Genomic DNA, 27638 nt, shown 5'->3' with positions numbered 1-27638 from the left:
ATTCTTAGTCTGTGTGAATGGCTCTCCCTGGAATTATTCTGTGAACAACCTGTGTGGCCATAAGTGGCTACCCTACTTGGTGTAGCTATGCCCAAAGATTTATTTTTTTCTGTCAAGAGTTCTTTTTTGTTTGTTTGTTTGTTTGTTGTTTTTTGTTTTTTTTTTTTGAAATGGAGTCTTGCTCTGTCACCCAGGCTGGAGTGCAGTGGTGCAATCTCAGCTTACTGCAACCTCCACCTCCCTGGTTCAAGTGATCTTCCTGCCTCAGCCTCCTGTGTGGCCCCGGGAAAAGGGCCCATGAAGGAATTACAAGCATGCACCACAACGCCTGGCTAATTTTTTTGTATTTTTAGTAGAGACAGGTTTCACTATGTTGGCCAGGCTGGTCTCAAACTCCTGATCTCAAGTGATCCACCCACCTCGGCCTCCCAAAAGTGCTGAGATTACAGGTGTAAGCCACCATGTCCGGCCTCTGTCAATAATTATTAAGTCTCAAATTACTCAGGTGCCAACTGTGGTTCAAATAATAGGCAAAGCTTTAAAAGATTTCTTGGCTATACACATGCACCCTTAGATCTCCAAATTTCAAAGAGCCTGGGATGAAATATGTACAGGTCTGTTTGCATTGCTATAAAGGAATACATCAGACTAGGTAATTTATAAAGAGGTTTATTTTGGCTTATGCTTCTGCAGGCTGTATAGGAAGTGTGGTGTCAGCAACTGTTTTGGGTGAGGGCCTCAGGAAACTTACAATCATGGCAGAAGGTAAAGGAGGAACCAGCATATTACATGGTGGGAGGGAGCAAGAAAGAGAGGTGTCAGGCTCCTTTTTAAACAGCCAGCTCTGTTGTGAACTAATAGAGTGAGAACTAACTCATTACCATGAGGACAGGATCAAGCCATTCATGAGGGATCTGCCCCCATGACCCAAACACCTCCTATTAGTCCCTATCTCCAACATTAGGGATCACATTTCCACAGAAGATTTGCAGGGGACACACATCCAAACCATAACAAAATGATAACATTTACTGGAAAAAAATTAGGTGTATTTCCCTCCTCTACAGGTAGATTTTATTAATATGACCTCCCTCTAACTAAAAGCAAAGGACAACACAATAAAATATCAAACTTTAAAAGTTGGGCTAAATAACGTTTCTATTTACATTTCTTTCTCAGGTAAGAAATAAATCATTCTTATTTCTTCTGTCTTTCTGTAAGTTACAGTTGTGATCTTTAGAGATTGAGAAAAATTAAGTCAGCCTTTAACAATTTTCAGATAGAATATTTTACTTAAAAAATAGGTAAGAAATAATTATAAAAGTTACTTTGAGACCATTCAATCATTTCAAGAGCCAACATGTAGTTATCAGATGGTATTAAACATTGGTCATTATGAAAGTGACTGTGGTTCAAACTTGTGACCTAAATCTCAAAGCTTACCCTAAATTAACTCTCAAAATAATACATATATGTGACCCTCTCACTGCTGCCAAATATCACTACGGTTTTGAAGTATTCAAATCTTCAAAAGAATCTCATTTATTTAAATGCCTTTAAATTCAGGGCAGCTGTAAAAAGCATTGATAAACTCGAAGCTAATATATTGTTTTCAAGATTTAGTGTGGGCTAATTTTTGGTAATCATATGCAACCATTCTTAAAGCAACCAAAATATCTTTGAAATAATTAGTTATCGCTTAATACTTAAAGCCTGCTTTATCTAATTTAAATTCTAGATTAAATCTATTTAAAGCAATTTAATGGTTTACTTTTTAAATTATTGAGTCAAAAATATGCAAAAGAAATGTTGTAATAATTCCCACCAGTGCTATCAAATCTACTAATAGAGCAATAAGTATTGTATTATTTTTAATTATACCATCACCTTTCTCCCCCGAGAATAAGAAGCATGAGTGAATGTTTACTAAATGAAATTCAAGAAGGCCTCAGGAAAAGGCCACTTTAGAACTGGGTATCTCACAAATTCAAGTTGGTTTTCTAGCACAAATTTAACATCAATACCATTCATACCAAACAAATATCAAGTCTATAATATGGAGGGAGATCTTATTGCAGAGAACCAAAGAATACCACATTTATTCTGCCTTTCAAAGAACTGTCACTGTAATTGCTGTAACTATAGCCTGGTTTTGTGGTAGAACTTATGCCATAATTTGATTCTAAAGAAAAGGCTCAAAGTACCCAGAATTTCCACATACTCTCTCCTGCTTTCTGTAATTAGGAAATCTAGACATTTTCCTGAATTTAATGAAGCAAACTTTAAGGCTGAGTGAAGTAGAATCAGAGCTGTCACGTGCCCCAGTGAGTTAAATTCTTGACCACAGGAAGTGCCTCAATTCTGTATTCCTGGCTCTTGCCTCCAAACTACTTGTCTCCATTTCTAACAGTGACTGTAAAAACAAGGGGTGAAATGTTCCATTCTGACATTCAGAATAATGCTTCTGCAGTTTCCATGTCCCCAGGAAAAGGGCCCATGAAGGTAGCAACGTTATCTATCTTGTTCATTGTTCTGAAACTGGCACTATTTCCAGCATAGAAAAGGTCTCAGTAAATATATGCTAACTGATTGATTCCTAAAGCCTCCAGACAATTCATTCTTGAGTTCAACTTCCATTATTGCTGTAGAAGAGAATACTATTTTCAGGATGTGGCATAACATGCTTTAATGCATAAACAGATTTTTTAATGAATGAACAGCTTCAGGGGAGAGACATGAGAAACCAGTGCTTATATATTTCTCAAATATGTGATGCAAAAGAAAATCTCTATTATGCTTAAGACCAAATCATCCCCTTTCCTCTCTCCAACCCCTGTTCCTCTAATCATCATCTCATCTCATGACAACACACCTACCCAGTCATCTAAGATAGAAATGTCAGAAACCTTTGATTTCTTCTATTTGACCACTGGAACTATCATTAGTTACTATGTCATGGAAATTCTTTTTCTTCATATCCTTCTTGAAACTACTCCCCAACCTCAACTACCATAGCCAGTACAAACTCTTACCTGAAATATAGGTCAGCCCTTCCTTCTTCCTGCGTATATTATTCCGTTGAAAAAGGAAATTACATGAGTCTGAGAGAAGTTTATTTTTTACAAAGCCAGTGGAGTTATTACATAGTTTTTATTTTCAAATTGTATTCTGTGATATTTTTCAACATATTCTTAAATTTAAAGGGTAAACTTACAGGCATAAAAACTGAATCTACTTTTTTGCATCTTTCAAATAATCTATTTTTAAAATATTTTCCACATTGCTTCCAAATCTAGAGAATTATTCCAGGAAGAGAATTCCAGGTTAAAATGAGTTACTTCTATAACCCCTCTTCCAAAAAATTCTGTGTATTACACATGTGTATGTTTTAAGTTCATGGACCCATGATTTACAGAAATGGTTTCAACAGTTTTATTTAGATATTATTGACAGATAATATATGCCATGTATTTAAAGTGTACAGTTTGATAAGATTGGGAATATGTACATACATGTGAAACAATCATGACAAGCAGGGTAATTAACATATCCATTATTCTTAAAAGTTTCTCATATTCCCTTATAATTTCTCCTTCATGTGTCCTACATCTTGAGAATCATCATTTCACATATTTTGTCTGAGTGGGTTTTTTCTTGGTTATTTTAGGCAGTAGAGTAAATGTAGTCCCTGTCTCTCCATCTTTTGCAGAAGTCCCTCAGTTAATATTTTTACTATATAATTTCAGTTACTTTCTTAGTGACTAATGTAAGGATTACAATATGCATTTTAAGTAATCATAATCTATTTGAAACTTAAACCAGCTTAATTCTGGTAAAATATAGAAACTGTCCTGTATCCTCTCTTTGTGCCATTATTGTAATATATATTACATCTATGTTATAAACTCAACAATAGTTACAATTATTATATATATAATATCTTATATATTTATATATTATATATAATTTATATATTATAATACCTTTATATATTATAACACCTTTTTAAAAATTTAAGAGAAAAATATTTATGTAATCTTTTATATTTATCCATATATTTAGCTATTTCCAGTGCTCTTTATTCTTGTAAATAAATACATGAATTTCAGTTGCTATCTAGTGATTTTCAGACTAAAAGATTTTCTTTAGTATTTCTTGTAAGACAAATCTGTTAGTAAAAAATTATTTCAGCCTTTGTTTATGTGAGAATGTCTTTTTTCACTTTCATTTCTGAAAAAGTTTTCCTAGAATAGAGAATTCTTAGTTGAGAGTTATTTTATTTTCTTTCAGCATTTTGAATATGTATTTTGCTGCCTTCTGTCATTCATTATTTCTGATAAGAAATTAATTGTTAATCTTATTGAGGTTCTCCTGTACTTGGTGAGTATTTTTGTTCTTGCTGCTTTCAAGACTCCTTCTATCTTCATGTTTCAGTTTGACTATGACATGACTATGTGTGAATCTTTCTATTTATCCTACTTGGGGTTTGTTGAGATTCTTGAATCTGTAGAGTCATGTTTTTCATTACATTTTGGAAGTTTTCTGTCATTACTCCTAAAAATGTTCTATTTCATTCTTTCTCTCTTATCCATCTGAGAATTCCATTACATGTATACTGATAAACTTGCTATTGACCTAGAGGTCTCCAAGGCTCTGTTCATTATTCTTCAATCTTTATTCTCTCCATTCTTCAAACTAGATAATTTCAACTGATTTATTTGAAGTTTTCTGGTTTGTTTTTTTTTTTCAAATCTTCTACTGAGCTCCTTCAATAAATCTTTCTTTATTGTACTTTCAACTCCAGAATTTTCCATATATTTATTTTTGACACTTTGTATCTCTCTTTATTAATATACTCTAATTGCTAAGTAGTTGTCATCATACTTCTCCTTTAGTTGTTAAAACATGGCTTCCTTTAGTTCTTTGAACACATTTAAAATAGCTTCTTTGAAATCCTCTGTTAAATCCAAAATCTGGACCCACTCGGTTTCTGTTGACTGCTTTTTTCCCCTAGGTATGTTTTGCCTTGTCCTGTTGCTTTGTATGTTTTATTATTTTTATTGAAAATTTGATATTTTAGATAATATATTATAGTAATTCTAGATTCTTATATTTTCCCCAAGAGTTAGAGTTGCTGTGTTTTTGTTTTAGAAACTTATCACTGTAAATCTGTAGAATTGTTTCCCCTATGACATGTGGCCCCTGGTGTGTCTGCTCAGTAATTTAAGTCTTGTTTTTATTTTTAAGCTTGGCTTTCTTGAGGTCATCCCTGTGTCTGTTTAGCTTAATAGTCAGCCAATGATTCATCAGTGGTTTTAATCAAACTCTTTGAACCAATAAACCTTATACTGTTAATCACTGGATCTGTGTGTGGGTTCATTCAAAGTTTAAGAACTTTCAGTCTTGCTCCAGCATTTATTTTCTGCTGGGTTCTTGTGGATCAACTCTACAGGTATATAGCCTCCCAATTAGCCAAGGATACGTAGACAGATTGAGCTCTTGATGGTCTCCCATCTACATATACAATGTAGTTAGAAGAAGGTACAGAAAAAGTATCCATCCCCTCTAAGTCTGTCTTATAGCTAGGATCTCCCTGTTTTATTTCTAATTGGCTCGTTGGTCTGGTGCTTGCTCAAACTGGGTTGACAGCTCAGATGAGAAGTTGCTAGCTTTCCTGATATGCTTGCTTCCAAGATCAGTACTTTTACTGAGAATGCTTTTGAAAGTGAGTTTTTCATATTTTGTACAAAATCAAGTGAATCTGTTCTGGCAACAAAGCTTCTGGTTTTCATAGCTTGCCACACACAGTAGAACTACCCTACTAATCAAGCTGGCAAGAAGGGAATAAGGTCCAGTCAATAACGTGATAGATTCCCAATGTTTTTATCTGGAGTTCAGTAGTTTTTCATAAGCAAATGCTTTTCAATTTGTTTTTTACTTTGATTGATTTCAAGGGCCATGTTTTGGGGAAAGAGGACTTGCCTCCCTCCTCATTCTACAATAAAGAAGTTGGGCTTCTTGACTGATTTTTCTATTCCTTATGGATCAATTTTCCTGCTTCTTTGCATGTTCAGTAACTTTTAATTGAAAGCCAAACATTGTGAATTTTACATTCTTAGGTGCTAGATGACTGTATATCCCTATACATATTCTTGAGCTTTGGTCTGAAACACAGTTGATTGGAAATAATTTGTTCCTTTTGTGTCTTTCTTTTAAGCTTTGGTAGGTGGGAACAGGGCAATGTTTTAGGCTACAGCTAATTTTGTCACATTACTGAGTTTAAAGTCTTCTGAACACTCCACCTGATGACTTTCTCCTGTCAGCTGTTCTACTCTAGCTGGTAAGAACAGGAACTATTCCCAGCCTGTGTGTGTTCTGGTGATTATTCCTTCTAATGCTCTCAGCTGGTTCTTTCCATGGCGTCAGGAAGTTTCCCTAATAGCATGTACTGATCATTATTCAGCTAAAGCTTCAAGGGAGACCTCTGCAGATCTCTAAAGTTCTTTCTCTATGCAGATCTCTCCTCTATGGTCCCTTGCCTGACAAACTCTAGCTACTTTCATCTCCCCAGATTCCCAGCTTTGTCTCCTTAACTCAGGAAAACAACTCCACATGAGTTCCCCCTCACATGCTACAATCTGGAAACTCTCTCCAGGCAATAGGCTAGGGTAATCATATGGCTCTTTTCATCTGCTTCCCATCTCTTAGGAAATTGTCTTTTATTGCTTGATGTTCAGTATCTTGAAACCATTGTTCCATATATTTCATCTGTTATTTTGTTAAGCTGATTCAGGTGGGAGGGAAAATCTGATGCCTGTTATCCCTTCTTTCTCAGAAGTCAGGAATGCTTATTTTGATCAAGGGAACACATTTACTTGAGTCTGTTGATTTTTTTCCCTTAATTTGTTTTTCTATCATCCTCCTGTAAACCATTCATGTTAATTGTCACTTGACCCAATCTTAATCATGCAACATGTATTTTTTTAATACTTACTATAGCCAGCCACTGCCCTAAGTACTGAGGATATAGACACAAATTAAAATACAACCACATGCTGAAGGAATCTGTGGCCAGAATCACCGTCCTAGTTTCTCAGTGTTGGGTCATTCAGATGAGCACTCTCTTCTTCCCTCACCCAGCTCCACACACCTTTACCCTACCTACTAGTCCTGTTGCTTCACACTCTGCATTGCATGTTCCTAATTCATTTAGGTAAAGAGAATATTTTTAAAGCCTCATACACCTTTTCCTTTATGCCATCTCTCTCTAATAAAAAGAAAACGTTTCATCTCTCTGTTATGCAGGCCTATATTTATTATGTTTTTCTCTTATTACATTAATTTTATTTGAGCAAAAGAACAACAATCATGTTTAAGCTTACGATGGGAAACAACACAGCAAGATTCCATAAATAGAGTTTAATTGCAGTAATTACTTACGTTAATTATATATCAACTGATTATTTTTAAGACATATTTATTGAGCACCATCAGCTTTCAGAAGTACCCATCATTCTCCCACTATATTTTTCAGATTTTCTACCCATGCTCAGAATAATCAACTATCATCTGACACATGATATAATAAGTACCTAATGAAATCCCAATTAAAATTGTATTTGAGACGCTTAATTTTAGAGATAAATTAGCAATAATTACATGATTCAAGAATCCACATCAGACAGGAAAGACACAACTATATCTTGACTAACTGGAAAGGACAAGCACAGATGAAGCCTTTTAATGTGCTTTCCAAAACCTGTTACAAAACATTATTGTACCTCAGCAGATGGTACCAAGAGATGTCTTTTTATTTTTTTAAAAATAGACAGTTTCCTTTCATACGCTGACTTGAGTGATTTTAGTCCTCATTATTACTGTCATCTGTTAGAGACAGAAAAAAAAGCAGGAGGGAGCATGTTATTTTCCATAAGGCAAGAACATCAGTATGGAGCCAGCCTTTGAGCATACTAAGTTTAATTTACTGAGCCGCAATACGCAGGAGAATGCACGGACTGGCTCTTAGCTGTTCATTTCAAACAACTTATCTTCATTTGGAGCTGAGACACTTGGTGCTTGCTGAGTACCATGCTTCCTCTCCTTCTCCTCCCTCTACCCAACCCCCAGCTAATTTTTTCCCTCTTTAGATTTAATGAATTCTGGAACCAATCAAAAGCAGGCTGTTAGGAGACACTAGACAAGTAAAAGCTTTAATACCATCTCTTTCAGAGTTCAAAAGGTCGCTTCCCCACACTAGAATAGCAAAAAATATATTTATTCCCTCTGAGGGAGCTATTTAGTCTCCAAGGGGAGGAGAAAACTGCCCCACTAAGTCCACCAAGGCTGTGCTCAGAGCTTCCTCTTCTTGCCCTGCAATATCTTTGTTCAGAGGACAACAGGCTCATTTACAACCTCACTTGGAGAAACTGTTAGCCGTACGTTTCCAATCTATATAATTTGCTGCTAAAGAACACAATAGTGTCTAATAGAAAACAGCTGTTACAAAATCCACTCTTTCTGGCAGGAGCGGTTCCTAACGTAGGATTTTAATTTTATCTCCTGATTGATAACACCCCATTAGCCATATCCAGATTCCTAACTGCAAAATGACGCATGGGCACTATTTTAAGCTCCCTCCCAGATGGATATCATTATGCTTGCTTGTCCCTCTGAACAGAAAGTCCACAGTTTGGGCGGTGTAATATGATACAGGCACTTATAACCACCCTGACACACGAAATGGGAAATACTGGTCACTGCCCATCCAGAGTGTTAAAAATGCATAGATAAGGTGGAGAGATGTAAATAGAAAAGATAATAGGTGTTATGTATTATAATAATCCACAGACAGACATAAAACCAAAAGTAATTTGCATTTCATATTTACCAAGAAATATTTTCCTTTGCTCTTTTGGACTTTTACTATTTATAGGAGAGGCACAGGGAGAGTCTTCTTTCACTAGTCACATAAGATTTTATTTGGGAATGGCTAAATTTGTAGGGAAGATGTCAACTTAGAAGATTAGGATTAATCATTATTGAATCAGGTCTCCACAAGTTCATGGCAGAAGTTAAACAATTACTCTACAAGAAGGGAGGAGCACTTTGACACAGCAACCTGGCTATAAAAGTACGAGGGGTCTGAGAAGGTCTCCTAGAGAAAGTGATACTTAGGTGAAAGGTGAAAACCAAAACTGAGTATGCCTAGTTATATTTAGGAAAAAATTCAGTTTTGAGGCATGACAAAGATCAACACACTGCAGTGAGTGTGTTGGACAATGTGTAGAATCTTCATCAAGATTCAGCTGGAAAATATTCAAGAAAAAATAAATTTCAGTGGATTGGCAGCAGGAAGAAGGCAAAGGAAGGATCTATGCCCAAGTTCTTGAAATTCTCATAAAATTGGTGACTGATTCATCATGCTTTCTGGAATAACTTTAATTATACATCTAAAACCATCCTTTACAACCACAGTCATGACAGAAAGGCACAGAACCATACACCAGCCTTAATGAGATCTATTTATAGCATCTCAACATTTATTTTGTAATGGCTTCAAAGCCCAAAATCGAGGTAGATTTCTCTGTGGAGCTCTTCAACCTCAGGGCTGAAATGCTATATTCATAAGAGGGCACTGTGGTGCATTTAAGGGGATAGGAGCTGGAGAAAATTTCCAGGTTGCATGAGATATTCAAGTTCCTACATAGTTTGTGCAATATTTCTTTGCCAGTAACAAACCTCTTGAACAACCTTGTTTCCTCAGTGTAAACTAGAACACTGATAAAGCAATATCCACTCACTGCAGTGTGTTGATCTTTGTCATGCCTCAAAACTGAATTTTTTCCTAAATACAACTCGGCATACTCAGTTTTGGTTTTCACCTTTCACCTAAGTATCACTTTCTCTGGGAGACCTTCTCAGACCCCTGGAATAGGTTGAGTTCCCCATGGTGTATTTCCCTGGCACCTTATACTACACCATTACTCATCACATTTAAAACTCAGTGTACTCATCACATTTAAATTTTAATGTCCGTCTACAGTAATTCACCTTTTAGTTAACCTATGAATCCATATTGTGGATAATGAACTGAATTCTGTCTAAGTACACCCTCCAATTCAATATTCAAGATCTCTTGGAATTTGGAGACCTCATGTTAGGACCCATGATCTGATCTTATAAATCCCTTGGTTTATGAATGAAGAAATAAGCATAATCTATGCTAATATATCCAATTTGAGGCAGGCTTAGACTAAGACTCAGGTTTTATGGTTCAACACAAGGGAATTCTACTAGGTGTGGAGATCATTAACCCATTACAAGAATCTGACCCACGTTTCCTCCTTTTTCTTAGCACCAGCCAATCATCCCATCTTGCAGTCAGCCTGGCTCAAATAGGAATTTATCAAACTGAAGGACAGACTCTGATTCTATGCTATAACTGAAATCCATAGCATCTGCTAAATACTCTGCTAAGTCCACATCCCTCAAACACCCTGCCTCTGTTTCCCCAAGCCATCCATGTTCGTTCTTCCCCCAGTTTATCACACACTTGCCCTTTTGCCCTTGCAAAGGCTCTCCTCTCCCAGCTCAGACATCTTATATTATCCCCAAACGGTAGCAGCAGGCCTCAGCTAACAATCTTGTGACCTGCAGATTCCCATGATACTGAGTTTAAAAGCTAGATTAGCCACTCTGCCACTCCTACCTATCAATTATCTTTTTTTTTTCCAGTTTCAATAACATGTTAGATGAAAGGGAGTAGCAATACTAGTACTCTTTCCTACTCGGAGAGCATCCACTATTATGCATGTTTTATGCAAAGTGGTGCTAGAGGCAGACATCCCCTTTTCTCTCTCTAAGGCAGGCCAAGCATTGGCTTATTATGTAGGCTTCACTATTATTGCTTCACACTTTTGAACCTGGAATAAGAGAGACGAATATGAAAGAACATTCAGAAAGTATTCATAATCCAGGATTGAAAATCCAGAGACCGAGGGGTGGCAAGTGTACAGGGTAAGGTGCCAGCTGCAGATCTGAGGACTAGATCCTCCAATATATCCTCCTTCCTTTTTGTTTATATTCATGCTGACACATTTTAACTAATTTTCTTTTTCTTCCCTCTCCCAGTCCCAGAACTACTGTATATGAAGTGCATTGGTTAACTTTACAGTTTATTCCTTAGACTGTGGAAAATGGAAAGAGGATCAGGACAGACCTGGAAGAGAAATGGACAATGCCTAGAGATTCTGGGTTTGGAGTGAGATGAAGCAACTGACAAGATTCAGGGCCATGCATTAGGTGCATTCCATCAGGTACATACAGTTGTCTTTTTAGGGTATAGGTAGAAGAAGAAAAGTGTGGTGGTGGATAGCCTATGGAGAGTGCGAGTGGGCACTTTTCATTTTACGGTCACCCAAAAATCTAAACCTCTTCCTAGTTTTGGGGAATCCTCCATTGTGTGGGACTTGGCTATAGAATGACAATAATTTGTCATCCATATTGGAAAGCTATTAAGAATTAGAGAGGGCATGGTTAATAATCCTGTTGGAACAATCAGCATAAGTCAGGTCTGTCCCAGCAAACCAGGACATACAGTCAGCTGAATCTTGGAAAGAGCATTCCCTTCCTTCTACAACAGAAAACAAAGAGAGAAGACAATCTCTCTCCCTGCTCTCTGACAGCTAGGGCACAGGCATGAGACTAACAGTCCTTGAAGGAATGATGTAAACAATGCAGTGGCTATTAAAAATACTGGTAGCAGCAGTGGATTCAGGTTAAGAGTCCAGTCATGGCATTTATGAGTGTCCAGTGGCTATAGGGCGGCAGAAACACCCTAGCCACACTTTTTAAAATATGTCCATAACTAGGTGTGGTTACTAGTCTCCAAAGATGGTTCTCAATGAACTGGACCGCCAGGTATCTACTCTCTTGTATAGTTCTTTTCCACAATGAAACTGTGTTGACCTGTGACTTGCTTTAACCAACAGAATGTGGAGGAAGTGGTGCTGTGCCGGTTCTAGAGCTAAACCTTGAGAAGACCTGGAAGTTTCTACTTTTGTGCTTTGGGGAACCCTGAGCAACTACGGAAGAAGTCTGTTTACCTTACTAGGGAGACCGCTTGAAGAGGGAGAGACCCTGAGATAACAGAGAACAAGAAAGACCTGGTAGTCCCACTGTCCCTGCCAAAGGGCTAAATATGTGAGGAAGCCCTCAAGCACTTAATTCAGATGAGTGCAGCCCCAGGCAACATCACATAGAGTAGAACAGCCTCTCTAAGCCCAGTCAACACAGAGAACTACAAAAGATGTTGTTACTTAAAGTCACTAAGGATCAAGGTGATTTGCTACACAGTAGTAGATAACCAAAATACTAAGCAGTCAGTTTCCCAGCCTGTCTTGTTTTTACCATCTCATGAGACTGGTTCTCTAATTTTCCTGTTTCAGTTCATTAAGTCTTCATACAAACCCCTTTTCTATCCTGATTTACCAATGGCTTTTTTAGAAACATATTTATCTTCACTTTTGTCGCTTCAGGGCAGGGGTGTCCCAACATTTCAAACATGAGGGCTCCATTTTTACTTAAAAAAAGCACATGTAAGAGATGTACCTTTAGGAACCACTGACTGGGAAAAAAAAATAACTAACAGAAAGTTATTAGAATTGAGCAATAACCTTAAATGAATTCTCATTTTCTTCAGCATAACCGCATATACACATTCAAAAACAAAGAACTACGCCTCCATGTGAGAAGCGCATTACATAATAGATACTTAGGAAGTTTATGAACCTTTGACCTCTTTCCATAGCTCTTCACCTTTAAAGTCTATGTCCCACCAGGCAGGAGTCACTAATGTGGCATATGTTTCTCCTTTGACATGTCCTTGAGATGAAGTGGTTCCCAAAACACACTGTTTCTTGGGAAAGAAAAACAATCTGGAAAACATTGCAGCACTGGACAGACAATATCACTGATAACAGAATAAAACTTCAAAAAAATCCGGCCGGGCGCGGTGGCTCACGCCTGTAATCCCAGCACTTTAGGAGGCTGAGGCTGGCGGATCACGAGGTCAGGAGATGGAGACCATTCTAGCTAACACGGTGAAAGCCCGTCTCTACCAAAAATACAAAAAATTAGCTGGGCGCGGTGGCGGGCGCCTGTAGTCCCAGCTACTGGGGAGGCTGAGGCAGGAGAATCGCTTGAACCCGGGAGGCGGAGCTTGCAGTGAGCTGAGATCGTGCCACTGCACTCCAGCCTGGGCAACAGAGCGAGACTCCATCTAAAAAAAAAAAAAAAAAAAAAAAAATTCCAACAAACCAACCTTCTTCAGAGGATATGAGGTAAAATAAATAAATAAATAAACAAACAAACTTTTTAGAGAGAACTGGCTCACAGACAAGTATAAACATTTTGGTAACAAGGCACCTGAATTATAGATGTAAAGCTATTCACAAATTCTAACTATTTATGGTTAACCATGTATACTCCTTCAATCTGGGTGCTTCTCTTTCTTATATTTCTCTTTTAAATGGGAAGATGCCTACAGATAGAGCTTTTTTTATCTGGCTAAGTAGTCACCAGTGGGGAAAAAAATGAGTTTTTCTTGCTTTGATAGTATGCTAAAATTTTAATGGTAAACTTTTAAAAAATTTTGGGGGTTTTGTTTGGCATCCCCAAACATCTTGGATCCAGAGAAGAAAATAATCTGAATAAAGAGGGGAATAGCTTCCTTCCTGATAACACATCCAATCCACTATTCCTTCTATTAAAATAGAAAAATGTTACCCAGCCAAAGTCAGAAACACTTTCTCCTCACTGTATTTTTAATGTGGACCCAGTAGTTACCTCAGATAGGTTCGTTTTTCAGTTGCACATGTGTCTCTCTGGAGATAGTCCCAAGAATATCTTTGTATTTAAAAACAAGCATATAACACCTTAGAGAAATCTAAGAAGCATATCTTGGTGATGTAGATGAATAGTCCAGAGCTCAGCACAAGGGCTGGGAGCTTATAAGATAAACACCCTAAATAGATATGACATCTGTATAGATGATATTTTTAACCTTAATGGTAATATAAAACAATGGCATTAGTGGGAGGTTAAACAAGTTGGAAAAATTCACATTTTGCTTTCTGGCTTACAAATGACCAACACAACTTTTCCTTCTGTGGGCTATAATATTCAAACATCGAACTTCCTCCCCTTTTGTGATCATCAGCTCTGGGAGTTCCTATGAAAATAAATCAATAAAGCAACTTCCTTTCCAGGCTGTCTGTCTAGATTCACTGTCACTATCCAACCATCCAATTTCAAATGAATCCCAAAGTAATAATTGCAGGTATCCAGCAGGATATAATAATCATTTTCTTAAATTAAAAAAAAACAACTCATATTTTGAACAGATATGTTTTTCTCTCTCAACTGAGGCCCCAGGCCTGGCTAGGATTCATTAGCCACTGAATGGATATAAGAAATTCAAACATATTATGAAAATCTTTGAATAATTCAGTTAACAAGCCAGTCAGCCATAAGAGGCAAATGCCCAAGAAATCAGGCTTCATTAGCTAGCTGCTGGCTTCATGTAGAGCTACCCTGAGGATTCAGAGTACTAAAAAATATTTCATATGCCCAGTTCTTTCTGCCATAGCACACCATGAGCTTCTCTAAGTGTTAAAACATAGAGGAAAGCAGGGGGAAGATGCACAGGAATATTATTTAGCAAGTGCCTACACTGTTCCAGACCCCACCCCAGACATACATACATTATTTTATTTATTCCTCATAATAAGCTATGTTAGCTATTATCTTTCCATTTGCCCACTTTACAAATGAGATTCTTGAAACTCAGAGCTGTCTAAGGTCATGAAGCTAATAAATGGTAAATAAAAAATTTGAACACAGGTCTAGCTAACTCCATATATACCTCACTCACCAGCTCTGTGTGAGCACAACCACACAAGTCTGTCTAGCCAGTCCATGACACCTAACAGTCAGCGACTTGAAAGTTGAAAGACTGGAAGAGGACATGCACGATGAGGTAGTATGAAATATCAATTAACAACTTGGTAGTAAGAAAAAAATAAAGTTCAATCAGGCAATGCCAGACTCTTACCTTTTCTAGAAGTGTGTTCTAAAAGAAGTCTGTGGGTCACCCTTTCTTCTTTGTTTAGCCTACCCACAACTGGCATTTAGCAACCTCCCATTGGCCAAAAGCCCAAGCACCTTTCACACTCATCTTTCAGAGCACTTTCAGTGTTCTGTAGAAAATGCTAAATTTCCAGTATTTGTACTCTCTGCCATCTAACAGAAGCATAGATAACTTCCATATCACTAGAGAATACTCACCATAGATTTCCAATTGCTAAGCACATGCTATTTGTTACTAAAGGTGATGCTTACTTTTGTCCAGGCAGGGGCTTTTCCCCTGACTGAGATAATATCACAACCATTTAGTCTGGAACAGTAAGGCTAATATACTGTATCAGACATTTTCAATTTACATTTTAATCAAAGTTGGTCATTCTAATGAAGCTTATTCCCTCATTATCATCTTTAATGCCCCAAACAAAGGTCCTTAAGTTCAGCTAATAATTGGTAAATATAAACTACATGGGAGCAGATTTAGGAACAGATTGTGAGACATATAATAAAATCATTAAAACCCTGTGTAGTCAGAAATGCATTTTTTGGTGTGTGAATCTGGTGCTTTGGGACCTTTGAATCAGGATGAGAGGAGACGATCTGTCCTCATTCTGAAGAGATAGGGCACTTCTTGGCTGTAATTGGGGGTTGTTGATGAAGCCTTTCGAGATGCACCGTCAAGTGGAAGGCTGCTTCACACAGGGGCTTTCTTCCCTGCTGTTGAGTGTCAAGAAACTCTTTTGCCTTTAACACATTTTTAGATGGAGAAGTGAAGACCTCATTCACAAGATCATCTAAGACTCACAGAGCTGCTGCTGTCTCTAGCCGAGTCTCAAATGGGAAAGGGGATGGGAACAGAAGTGGGGAACGTAGGGGCAGGCTGCAGAAACCAGAGCTCCCACTGGTGTTTTTGAATAGCAATTCTCTCTGCAGCGTGAAATAGCAGTAGAAATACAAAGTGGTGCTGCAACACCTACGAGCAGAGGCTGTGGAACAGCAGGAAGGTTTTAATGCCAGAAGTTTTGATTCTACCATATGAAGTTCATAGCCCTCAAACAAACTACGTTTAAAAAGTGGGGTTTGGCCGGGTGCGGTGGCTCACGCCTGTAATCCCAGCACTTTGGAAGGCTGAGGCAGGCAGATCACGAGGTAAGGAGATCGAGACCATCCTGGCTAACACAGTGAAACCCCGTCTCTACTAAAAACACAAAAAATTAGCTGGGCGTGGTGGCGGGCGCCTGCAGTCCCAGCTCCTGTGGAGGCTGCGACCGGAGAATGGCGTGAACCCGGGAGGCGGAGCTTGCAGTGAGCTGAGATTGCGCCACTGCACTCCAGCCTGGGCGACAGAGCGAGACTCCATCTCAAAAACAAAAACAACAACAAAAAAAAACTGGGGTATACTCATTTTCCAACGTTAGAAAGTGTTCAGGGATGGGCCAGGCACGGTAGCTCACGCCTGTAATCCCAGCACTTTGGGAGGCCGAGACGGGCAGATCACGAGGTCAGGAGATCAAGACCACCCTGGCTGACACGGTGAAACCCTGTCTCTACTAAAAATAGAAAAACAAAATTAGCCGTGCGTGGTGGTGGGTACCTGTATTCCCAGCTACTGGGGAGGCTGAGGAGGGAGAATGCTGTGAACCCGGGAGGCGGAGCTTGCAGTAAACCGAGATTGCGCCACCGCACTACAGCCTGGGCGACAGAGCGAGACTCCGTCTGAAAAAAAAAAAAGTGTTTAGGGAAGTGCACCAGTTTTCTATTGTCACGATAATAATGCATTCCAAACATACTGAAGCTGTTTGCTTAAAACATTACCTAATCGTCTGTTTTGCCTCTACAGGTTGGCTGGGTGGTTCTCCTAATCTGGGCCAGGTTTGGGTGATCTTGGCCAAACCCACTCACATGCATACAGTCAGCCAGAATGTGGGCTGGGATCTGGTTTGTCCAGAGTGGCCTTGGCTGGGATGACTTGGCTCTTTTATAAATCTAGAAGGCTAGCTCAAGGATATGCTTAAGATAATAAGCAGAAAATCTCAAGTGCTTTTCAAGCCTCTGCTTGTGTCACATTTATCAAAGCGAATCACATGATCAAGCCCACTGTGGAGTAAGAAGGAGTTACAAACTCACAGGACGAAGAGTATGGATACATTAATTGGGGCCCTTAGTGCACTCAGTTGAGCAGAGAGGTCCTTTAGGGACAAATTCCAAACAGAATCTTTATCACTGGTTAATTCATAGCTCCCTATGACTATCCTCCAGGTAAAAATAAGCTTTCATTAGGCCATACAAATCAGCTGAATAAATGGAAACAGCACAATTATATTATTTAATCTTACCTTTAGATGTACCTTCACTAGACTTTGCCAAGTTTATTGTATATTGGAAAGGGTATAGAGCTGAGAAAAATGTGGCTAATAAGTAATTTAATCTGCCAGTGATCTGGACTGCTAAATGCTAAAAATATGCATTTCTGAAGGTTACAACATTCAAAATCGCCAACCAAGTCAGGAAAACTGAAGCCAGAGGTTGGTATAGCGAAATTTCCCATGGTATTTGTGATTACAAATTAGGCTATTAAATGAATAGCTTACTATAATGATATAAAAGTGGCAAAGTTAACGTCCCCCTAAGGACCTTCAGTTCTACAGTTTTTGACTCTTGTGGGTTTAAATTTGTAACTTACCATTGCACTCAAGTAGCTTTTGCATTTAATTATTTTGGGGGAGAGAGTTAAGAGGGAGAGATGGAAGGAGGGGAGGAGAATAAATGAGCACATCACTTCTCAGAGCTCACTTTCATACAGCTGATGCTGCCTGCTTCATTCTCAATTCACAAGTTCATTCTCTATTTCCTAAAGGAAGCAGGTGAGACCAGCCTCCTTTCCGCTTCTCCAGCTTTCCATCTGAAGGACAGGTAGAGAATGTTATCATATTTACAGGCTCTGAGTTGATATATCAAGAGGACTTTTCACCCCTTAAATAATCAGCTACATCCTGCTGTTTTTCAAGTCCGCCTGTGAACTATTTTACATCATGCATGTGGGGATTCACCTCCAAACTGAGCATGCCCATATTCCCATCTGAAGTGATTGTTTGCATGGCAATTCTAAAATATGATACATTCTTGAACAGAGGCTTCATAAGTTGTGTTCTTGATTTTCCCTTCCTGTTCCCTTCTCCTCCGTGGCCAAAGAATCAAGACCAAAGCCTAGAAAACACCACTTGTTTAAGACATTTCCCCTCCTCCAAGAGTTGTTAATTGTCCTATAGGAGCAGCAGGTGTCATCCCACAGTGGAAAATGTGAATGTCACCGCTTCCTGACAGATAATTTCTTTCCAAGATCCCAACTTCCCTCAACTTTTTGTAATGCCAAGAGAATTAATTTTTAGAACATAGAGGAAAAAAATATGGAAACTGATTTTAATTTAAAGTCTCATTCTGCTCAGAACATTTAATAAAAACTGCATGATTTTCTAGTTCCTGAGGCCAGAGACACGACTAAACACAGACCCTGCCCTGAGAACATCACTGTCATATGACAAGTTAGATTATTTAAAAGGCAACTAGAACATCATTACAGTTGTTGTTCATCAGGTGCCTGGCAGAGGCACAGGTGGAAAGAAAGCAACCAGATCTGTTGGAGATTAAAAATCAAGGAGACTCCACCATCCCTGCTACAGCCTGGCTGAAGATGGAGAGTGGTAGTAGGCAAAGCACCTTCCCCACATGGGATGGCCAGCAAGGTGTGTAACCTTGGTGAAACCAAGGTACGCCACTGGTTTCCCATATGGAACCAAAAAGAGCTTGTCTAGCCAAAGCAAGCCTAAGCAAAAAGAACAAATCTGGAGTCATCACATTATTGGACTTCAAGTTATACTACAAGGCTATTGTTACCAAAAGAGTATGGTACTGCTATAAAAGTAGTCACACAGACCAATGGAATAGAATAGAGAACTCAGAAATAAAGCCAAATACTTAAAACCAGCTGATCTTTGGCAAAGCACACAAAAACATAGACTAGGGAAAGGATGCCCTATTTAATAAATGGTGCTAGGTACACTGGCTAACCTCATGTAAAAGAATGAAACTGATCTCTCACCTTATACAAAAATCAACTCAAGATGGATCACAGACTTAAATCTAAGACCTCAAACCATAAAAATTCTAGAAGATAACCTTAGGAAAACTCTTCCAGACATTGGCCTAGGCAAAGAATTCATGACTAAAACCCCAAAAGCAAATGCAACAAAAACAAACATAAATAAATGGGACCTGACTAAACTGAAAAGCTTCTGCACAGCAAAAGAAATAATCAGCAAAGTAAACAGACAACTCACAGAATGGGAGAAAATATTTGCAAACTATGCATCTGACAAAAGACTAGTATCCAGAATCTATAAGAAACTCAGATAAGTCAGCAAGAAAAAAATAAGTAATCCCATCAAAAAGTGGACAAATGACATGAATAGACATTTCTCAAAAGAAGATATGCAAATGGCCAACAAGCATATGAAAAAGTGTTCAACATCACTAAATATCAGGCAAATGCAAATTAAAATCACAATGAGAATAACCCTACTTCTGCAATAATGGCCAGTATTAAAAAATCAAAAAACAATAGATGTTGGTGTGGATGTGGTGAAAGGGGAATGCTTATACATTGCTGGTGGTAATGTAAATTAGTACAACCTCTACGGAAATAGTATGGAGATTCCTTAAAGAACTAAAAGTAGATCTACCATTTGATCCAGCAATCCCGTTACCTGGGTGCCTACTCAAAGGGAAAGAAGTCATTATATCAAAAAGACACATGCATATATATGCTTTTTGCACCCCAATTCACAACTGCAAAGATATGGAAGCAACCTAAGTGCCCACTGACCGATGAGTGGATAAAGAAAATGTGTCATATATACACCATGGAGTACTACTCAGCCATAAAATTGAATGAAATAATGTCTTTTGCAGCAATTTGGATGGAGCTAGAGGCCTTATTCCAAGACAAGTAACTCAGGAATAAAAAAAAATACCATATGTTCTCACTTATAAGTGGGAGCTAAGCTATGAGGACACAAAGGCATACAGAGTGATAAAATGAATTCTGGAGACTCAGAAGGGGGAGGTTGGTAGAGGGGTATGGGATGAAAAAACTACATATTGGGCACAAAATACCTTACTCAGGTGACAGATGCACTAAAATCTCATAATTCACCACTATATAATTCATCCATGTAACCAAAAACCACTTATACCTCAAAACTATTAAAATAAAAAAATTAAAAATAGCACATAAAAAAAGAAAAAGAATAATAATGTTCATTTCCTCATAGGTAAAAGAGACATACTGGGAGACACATCCTCACAAGAGTTTTGTGGGGACTAAATGCGTAGATCTACATAAAGTGCCTAGCAAAGTGTCTGCCACATAATGATCATTTAATAAACCTTATGTATTATTATTTATCTTGTTAAAATGTGTTGGTGCTTAGGGCTGCAAGGTATTACCCTAGCAAGTTGCAAACAGTATCTGATTTAATCCTCACCATTTATCAGATGAGGCTACTGAGGCATACAGGAGTTAAGTTTCGAATCCCAGTCTTACTTCCTATCCTTCACCCTGCACTTAAGCATAGTATAGGGTGGTTAAATGGTTCTATAACCACTATTACTTTAGACATAGGTCTCTTTTCCCAGCCTATTCCACCTTACAGCCAGAAAGTTGAAAGATGACAGACAGGAGAGGAGGGCATATACAACGAATGAGTATGAAGTACCAGTTCACAACTTGGTTGTAAGAAACAAGTATAAAGTCAGGCATTAGAATTGGAAAGTATAGCAGTCTGGAACCATTTAGCATTAGGGCAAATAAGCTGCATGATTCAATGGCAATTAGAGGTAACATTATATAAGAGGACAGTGCAATATAGTGAATTGTAGTATATTAATGATCCTATGTTATCAAGAGAAAGTCAAATTATGTTCCGTTTTCTGTTTAAGAAGAATAGGAAGTGTGAGATATTTTAAAGAAATTCTATCAAAAATAGAGTAATTTCTAAAAATTTTGATAATTGAAGAAATAAACTCCACTTACATAAAAAAATCTTATTCCTAAATGGTGATACATAAAATTACAATTGAATTACAGATGGTCCCAACTTAGGATAGTTTGACTTACAATTTTTCCACTTTTTTATTGGGACCCAAATCCACTATAAATTAAGAAGCATCCAGACTTTTAATTTTTTGACTTTACAATGGGTTTATCCGGCTATTAAGTGTATTTTCAACTTATTATATTCTCTACTTAAACAATGGGTTTATCAATACATAGCCCCATCATAAGTCAAGAAACACCTGTGTAGGTGATATGGTTTGGCTCTGTGTCCCCACCCAAATCTCACCTTGAATCGTAATAATCCCCATGTGTCATGGGAGAGACCTGGTGCAAGGTAATTGAATCATGGGGGTGGGTTTTTCCCTTACTGTTCTCATGATAGTGATAAGTCTCAGGAGATCTGATGGTTTCATAAAGGGGAGTTCCCCTGCACATGCTCTCTTCCCTGCTGCCATGTAAAACATGACTTTGCTCCACCTTTGCCTTCCACCGCGATTGTGAGGCCTCCCCAGCCATGTGGAACTGTGAGTCAATTAAACCACTTTCCTTTATAAATTATCCACTCTCAGGTATGTCTTTATTAGCCATCTCAGGTATGTCTTTATTAGCAATCCTATTACAATAGGATTGGCAAATTCTTCAAAAATCCTCCAGTCCCACTCCTACATTTTTCAAGTAAGGAATCAGAAGCCCAGAGGGGTTAAGTGACTTGCCCAAAGTCACACAGATAATCAGTTGGGAGAGTCTAGTGAAATGAGGGAATGGACAGATAATAACCAAGGCTAAAGCTAGAAGCTGAGGTGTGATGGTTTGGCATTCCACGACTAAGAGCTTGAAACTTATCGTGTGAGCTAGCTTTTCATGGTGCATCCCATCAGCTAAAAAGAATTACATATACAAACATAATGTATGCTCATTACATATATCTACTACTATCATTAGCTAATATCTCAAGGCATAGATTACACTGCTGGAGAGGTTCTTTGTTAATGATTAAAATAATCTTCTTGATAGTTTCCATTTCTTTTTTGGCTGACTCTTTCTCAGACCTAATTAGGTCATTCATTATTGTTTCTGCCCCATAATGTGACTGAGAAAGAGGTTGTGCCAAAAGAAGGCAAAGTTCCAGCTCTGCCATTGTCTTATTATTGCTTTGTAAGTCACTTACCCATTTTTCTGGGAGTTCTTTTGGTTAAAATTGGGTGATGTAATCTGTAAGCCCAGTTAAGCAGGTTCACAAGGGCACTGCTGTCTACTGCTCTGTGTTTTGGAATTCCCTCTCTTTCCATTGGTTACCTCAACTACAGAAGTGACACATGGACAGAGTACAGGTACCATTATCACTCCTTGTATTAAGTGATAATTTCTGAATTCTTTAGAATCATTTGTGTGTGCATATGTGTGTTTCCTAATGTCTCTCCTATAATCTGTCTTGTCCTCTTGTGCATTCTCATTGGAGGGCATTGTTATGGGTGACGGATGGAGCACCATGGAAGACTTTATGATTTAAAGGACAAAAAGGTCACTGATGTCCACCTTAAAGAAGGACTTCCAATACTGGAGGTAGGGAAACCAGCTAGGTAGCTGTGGCAAAGGTCAAACTGAGAAATGATTAGGCTGGGGATGAATAAGATAGTGAGAGTAAAAATGAAAAGAAAAAGATGCCTTATGGGAACATTGAGAAAGGGAAGATGGCAGGTCTTATGAATTTGGGTGTGAGAGAAAAAGGAAAAAAAATCAACTGTGGCTCCAAGTTCTCTTCCATAAAGGATCAAGTTATCAAATAAACAGTGACAGCAACACTGGCAAAGGTATCTGTAACCAGCTGTGTGGTTAACACAGCAACTTTCAAAGCTTTCAAGGCTTTTACATTCCCTTTCCTTTTTTAGAATTCATCCATTTATTATCTCTGATAATAAAGTCAATGCAAACTCAGAGAAGCTTATTCCTTACATTTACATGAGAAGCAGACCAAAACCCCCTCTTTGCACCGTCAGTCAGAGCAAACTAGCTTCTTCCACCCCCACCCCGACCCTTTAGAGAGATTTAAACCATGAGACACAATCAAATGAACAGATGAGCCTCTCAATCAGTATCAGTATCTTAACTGCCACAGACACAACCAGCCATGGTGATGCATTATACATTTTTCATGTTGTGTGTGTCTGCCTGGTTTGTCAGAACTCAAATTTCTTTTGCACTTAAACTGCTGTCATCCCAATAATGTTATTCATTGTTAGCAATGACTCCCTGTGCTATATCACAAACACAGGACATGATGCATACAGTTCCAGGAAGAAACTGGCAGGATAATATCTTCTTCTATCCTGTGAGCAATTACCTACTTTCCCTTTATTTTCTTTCATTTCTTTCCCTGTGAAACACAATGTGCACAGTTAACACACAGTTGTGCTGAGTTATGACACTTTGGATATTTTCATCTTAGGAATGTTAAATGCTGATACTCAACCTTATAAATTCAGTTCTGCTATATCAAAGTGAGAAGAGAATGGGGAAGAAGTATATTTGTTTAGGAGTTATTATATTAAATTATATCATATTATATAGCATAGTTTAATATTATATTTTCAATAAAGAATTATATTAATTGCTAAATGGAAACAAGATGTAACACCTCTCACCTTAGATGAGGCATAAAACTACTAGGATTGACATAGTCCTAGACAAGAGTTCCCCTGACAAGGGGGAACAATGCTGTTCTCCCTCTCTGATAATTTTGCAACCACATAAAATACGACTTTCACTCTCTTAGAAGTATGAAGAAACAGTCTTTTATTTTCTTCACCTCTAGCTGTGAAGTTGAGTGATTCATCTAAATTATTGAGATAACACAAATGTGACATTTATTTGTGTCACATTTGTATCTATTGCACGTATATATCTATTGGGCAGAGTTTAAAAACTGAGATTTGCATATGCCTGTGACCTCCTATTCCTATGTTTTCCATACTTGATATGAAGCTTCAGGGCACCAGCTGGGGCAGTGCTCTGTTCTGTAATTTTCCACACATGCTCTCCTAGAAGTCCACTCTTGAAGTGGGGATAGGAGTATCCAGAAGCCCATTTTGGCCTGTGGTCCAGTAAAGAAGGCTGATACCTTGGATTATTATCATCCTGACACCCCCAGTAGAAGGGTCAGGTAATGAATGATGGTAGTTCAAAATAAGAGAAGACAAGGTAACATAAGAATGATGCTACCAGAAACATTGTGGCAAAGATTTGATCCATACCAGTGTTTTTCAAACTTTACTGAGCATTAGACTCACCCAGAAAACTTTTCATAATGCAGATTCCTGGACCCCATCCCCAGAATTTCTGATTCAATAGGTCTGATATGGGGCCCAAGAATTTGTTCAAACAATCTCTAAAGTATTGCTGATTTTGCCAGCCCTTGAACAGCACTTTGAGTAGCACTGATCTGTGCGATCCTGGATACCTGATTAGCAAGAAAAATGAGTCCCAAGAAAGGTAGACCCAGATCTTCCATTCTTTAAGGACAGGTATCAGGTGCAGAAAATCTTTTCCTGAGACCAACCAGTGCAAATGTATGTGGGAGGTGATATATGCAGCTTCACGTTTCCAAAAGGAGAATGCTATCTAGTAGATTGCATCAATGGCCCAACTCTTCAGCCCTCTCTGTATCTACCTGTTTTACCATGTGATTTAGCAACTCCTCCTCCTAAAAGGATGAAGCACATTTCCCTACCCTTTGGCTTTGGGTTTGACCATGTGGCTTACCTTTACCAAATAAATGTCAGCAAGTGCATTGTGACCAAAGACTTGAAAAGCCCTGCATGACTTGCCTTCTCTCTTGTGCCTCTGCCACGACATGACCCTCTGACCCACTGGATCCAGCAAGAGGATGAGAGACTTGGGCAACAGGACCTAACTGCCCATGCTGAGTGCAGCTTATATCAGCCAGTCTCCACCAGAATCCCAGACATCTGAATGAGTTTGGCCAAGAGCAACAGAGCCACCCAGCCAAGCTCAGCTTCATTGTCAACCCTCAATTGGACCTGCATATCTGTAAGAATAAATACTTGTGGTTTGAGCTACTGAGTTTGACATGGTTCTCATGCAGCAGATTTCATGACAACAGCAAACCTATATGTAGTGTCCATCTGGTTGCCCTTGGTGGCTAGAATTTGGAGAACAGCTGGAGGCATCTACAGCTATGCGGAAGTGAATCTGAAGAGACTTGTGAGGTTGATAGGCTCTATTCTTGTAGTTACACATCAGGAGGCTTTAGGAATTGAAAATCAGTTTTGGGGCAATCCTAGGCCTGCTTCTGTGACTTTTAGGTTGTAAAACTGAGGTTCAAAGAAAATGAGTGGTCTTATCTATGGTAACACAGTATCAACAACAGGCTGGAATCAGGTTTCCAACTTCGAAACTTGAGCTTCACCTGCAGACTTTGTGGCTTTTCCTTTGCAGTTTGAAATAAAATTTAAGCCTTTAAAAAAAAACTGCTAAAGTAGCTACTCTGTGTTCCCACTCCCCTTACTTTCCTCAAAACCAAGAAACAATCACTATTAGGATTATCAACAGCTGAGGCCCATATTTTTAGGCTACTAAATTATACATACAGTTGGTAGTAATTATGATCAACAAGAACAAAAATAATTCCTTTCAAAGAAAACAAATAAATTATACCATCAGGTGAGTTGTATTTGTTTATAAGCGATGAAACCATATGCAACATGTTTTGTTAATTTCTTTCTCTTTTCTTTTTAACCAGCTTAATTCACTTTATTTTTCTTGTGTAAAAACCCTGTGTTGTAGCCATAGCTGGAGCCTGGATCTTCTGCACGGAGACTCTGGTGTGGGTCTTGATAAGGTAGTCAGTGAATTCCTGATAGGGAGACTTGGTGAATACAGTCTCCTTCCAGAGGGCGGGTGTTTGGTAGCTGTAAGTCTTAGAGATGGTATCAAAGGTGGCCTTGGCAAAGTTGCCCAGGGCGGAGGTGCAGTCCCTGGCTGAGGGGTAGTAGTCATCGATACCAGCCATCAGCAGCAGCTTCTTGGGCATGGGGGCAAAGACGATGCCAGTGCCCCTGGGCACACCAGCACAGAGCCACAGCGGCCTGTCACCTTTCAAGGGATGGCGTGGGGCTTGCCGATCTTATTCCTCCAGTAGCCTTTGTGCACGGGAACAATGGAGAGCTTGGCTAGGTTGATGGCCCCACAGATGGCAGGGGCCACCACCTTGGAGCACTTAACACCCAGGCCAACGTGGCCATTGTAGTCCCTGATGGCAACAAATGCCTTGAACCTGGTGCGCTGGCCTGCACAGATCTGCTTCTGCACCAGCATAATCTTCAAAACCTCATCCTTGAGAGAGGCCCCCAGGAAAAAGTCAATGATCTCAGACTCCTTGATGGGCAGGGAAAAGAGACAGATCTCCTCCAGGGACTTGATCTTCATGTCCCTGTGAACAGGCGGCCCAGCTTGGTGAAGGCCATGCACTCATTGTCTTGGCCTTGCCTCCGCGAGCTCCGTGGCCTCGGCCCCGGCCTCGGCCCCAGCCCTGACCATGGCCACAACCCTGGCCCCGGATGCCACAAAGCATCTGCGGAAGCCACCGAGGTTCCCCATCCCAGGGCCCCCAGGGCACCTGCCCCGCCCATGCGCTGCACCTGCATCATCTGCCATTTTGTGTTTCTCAAAGAAAAAGCATTAATTTCTTTCTTATTTGCACTCTCTGTTTTTCCAAAACAATTTAAAATAAACTACTGTGTATTATTTTTATAAGAACAATTTTTTAAAAAACTGGGGGTTGGTTCATTGGTTTTTTTTCTGTTTTCCTTGAGAAGTGTGGAATAAAAGGTTCTTTCAGGCTGACCTATGACCCATTTTCACCCCATTCAATAGCTGACTAATACGGCCTTCTCAGAAGGTCCTTAAACACACAGGACTTAGTTGGCCATTAACTGACAATTTTTAGACACATTAATCTCCAAACATTAATGTAACTGAGATCATAAAAATGTCTGTTACCAATAAATGAAAGGTATAGTGGAAAGATCATGAATGTAGAATTAGAAGGCCTAAAGCCTTCACTTAATAATAAGTAATTATAGCTATCATTTTTAAGAATATATTCCAGAGGTGATACTGTGCAAAGCCCTTTTTTTTTTTTTTTTTTTTTTTGAGACAGGGTCTTACTCTGTGATCCAGGCTGGAGTGCAGTGGCACAATCATAGCTTACTTCAGCCTCGAACACCTCAGCCTCCTGAGTAGCTGGCACTAGAGGCATGTACCACCATGCCTTGCTAATTTTATGTTTTTATGGACGGCGGGTGGGGGGGTCTCACTATGTTGCCCAGGCTGGCCTTGAACTCCTGGCCTCAAGCATTCTTCC

General features: G+C 38.9%; 1 long non-coding RNA gene and 1 pseudogene across 1 annotated transcript in view; both read right to left on the bottom strand.

The window, feature by feature from the left end:
* Positions 1–27638, bottom strand: part of LOC105376107 (uncharacterized) — a 378142-nt gene that overhangs the window by 197706 nt on the left and 152798 nt on the right. The gene's annotated exons all lie outside the window — the stretch shown is intronic.
* Positions 26009–26947, bottom strand: RPS2P34 (ribosomal protein S2 pseudogene 34; annotated as a pseudogene).

The sequence above is a fragment of the Homo sapiens genome, chromosome 9 (genome assembly GCF_000001405.40).
Source record: "Homo sapiens chromosome 9, GRCh38.p14 Primary Assembly".
Taxonomy (NCBI): domain Eukaryota; kingdom Metazoa; phylum Chordata; class Mammalia; order Primates; family Hominidae; genus Homo; species Homo sapiens.
The sequence above is the reverse complement of the archived record's forward strand: the minus strand, read 5'-3'. Positions and strand labels throughout refer to the sequence as shown.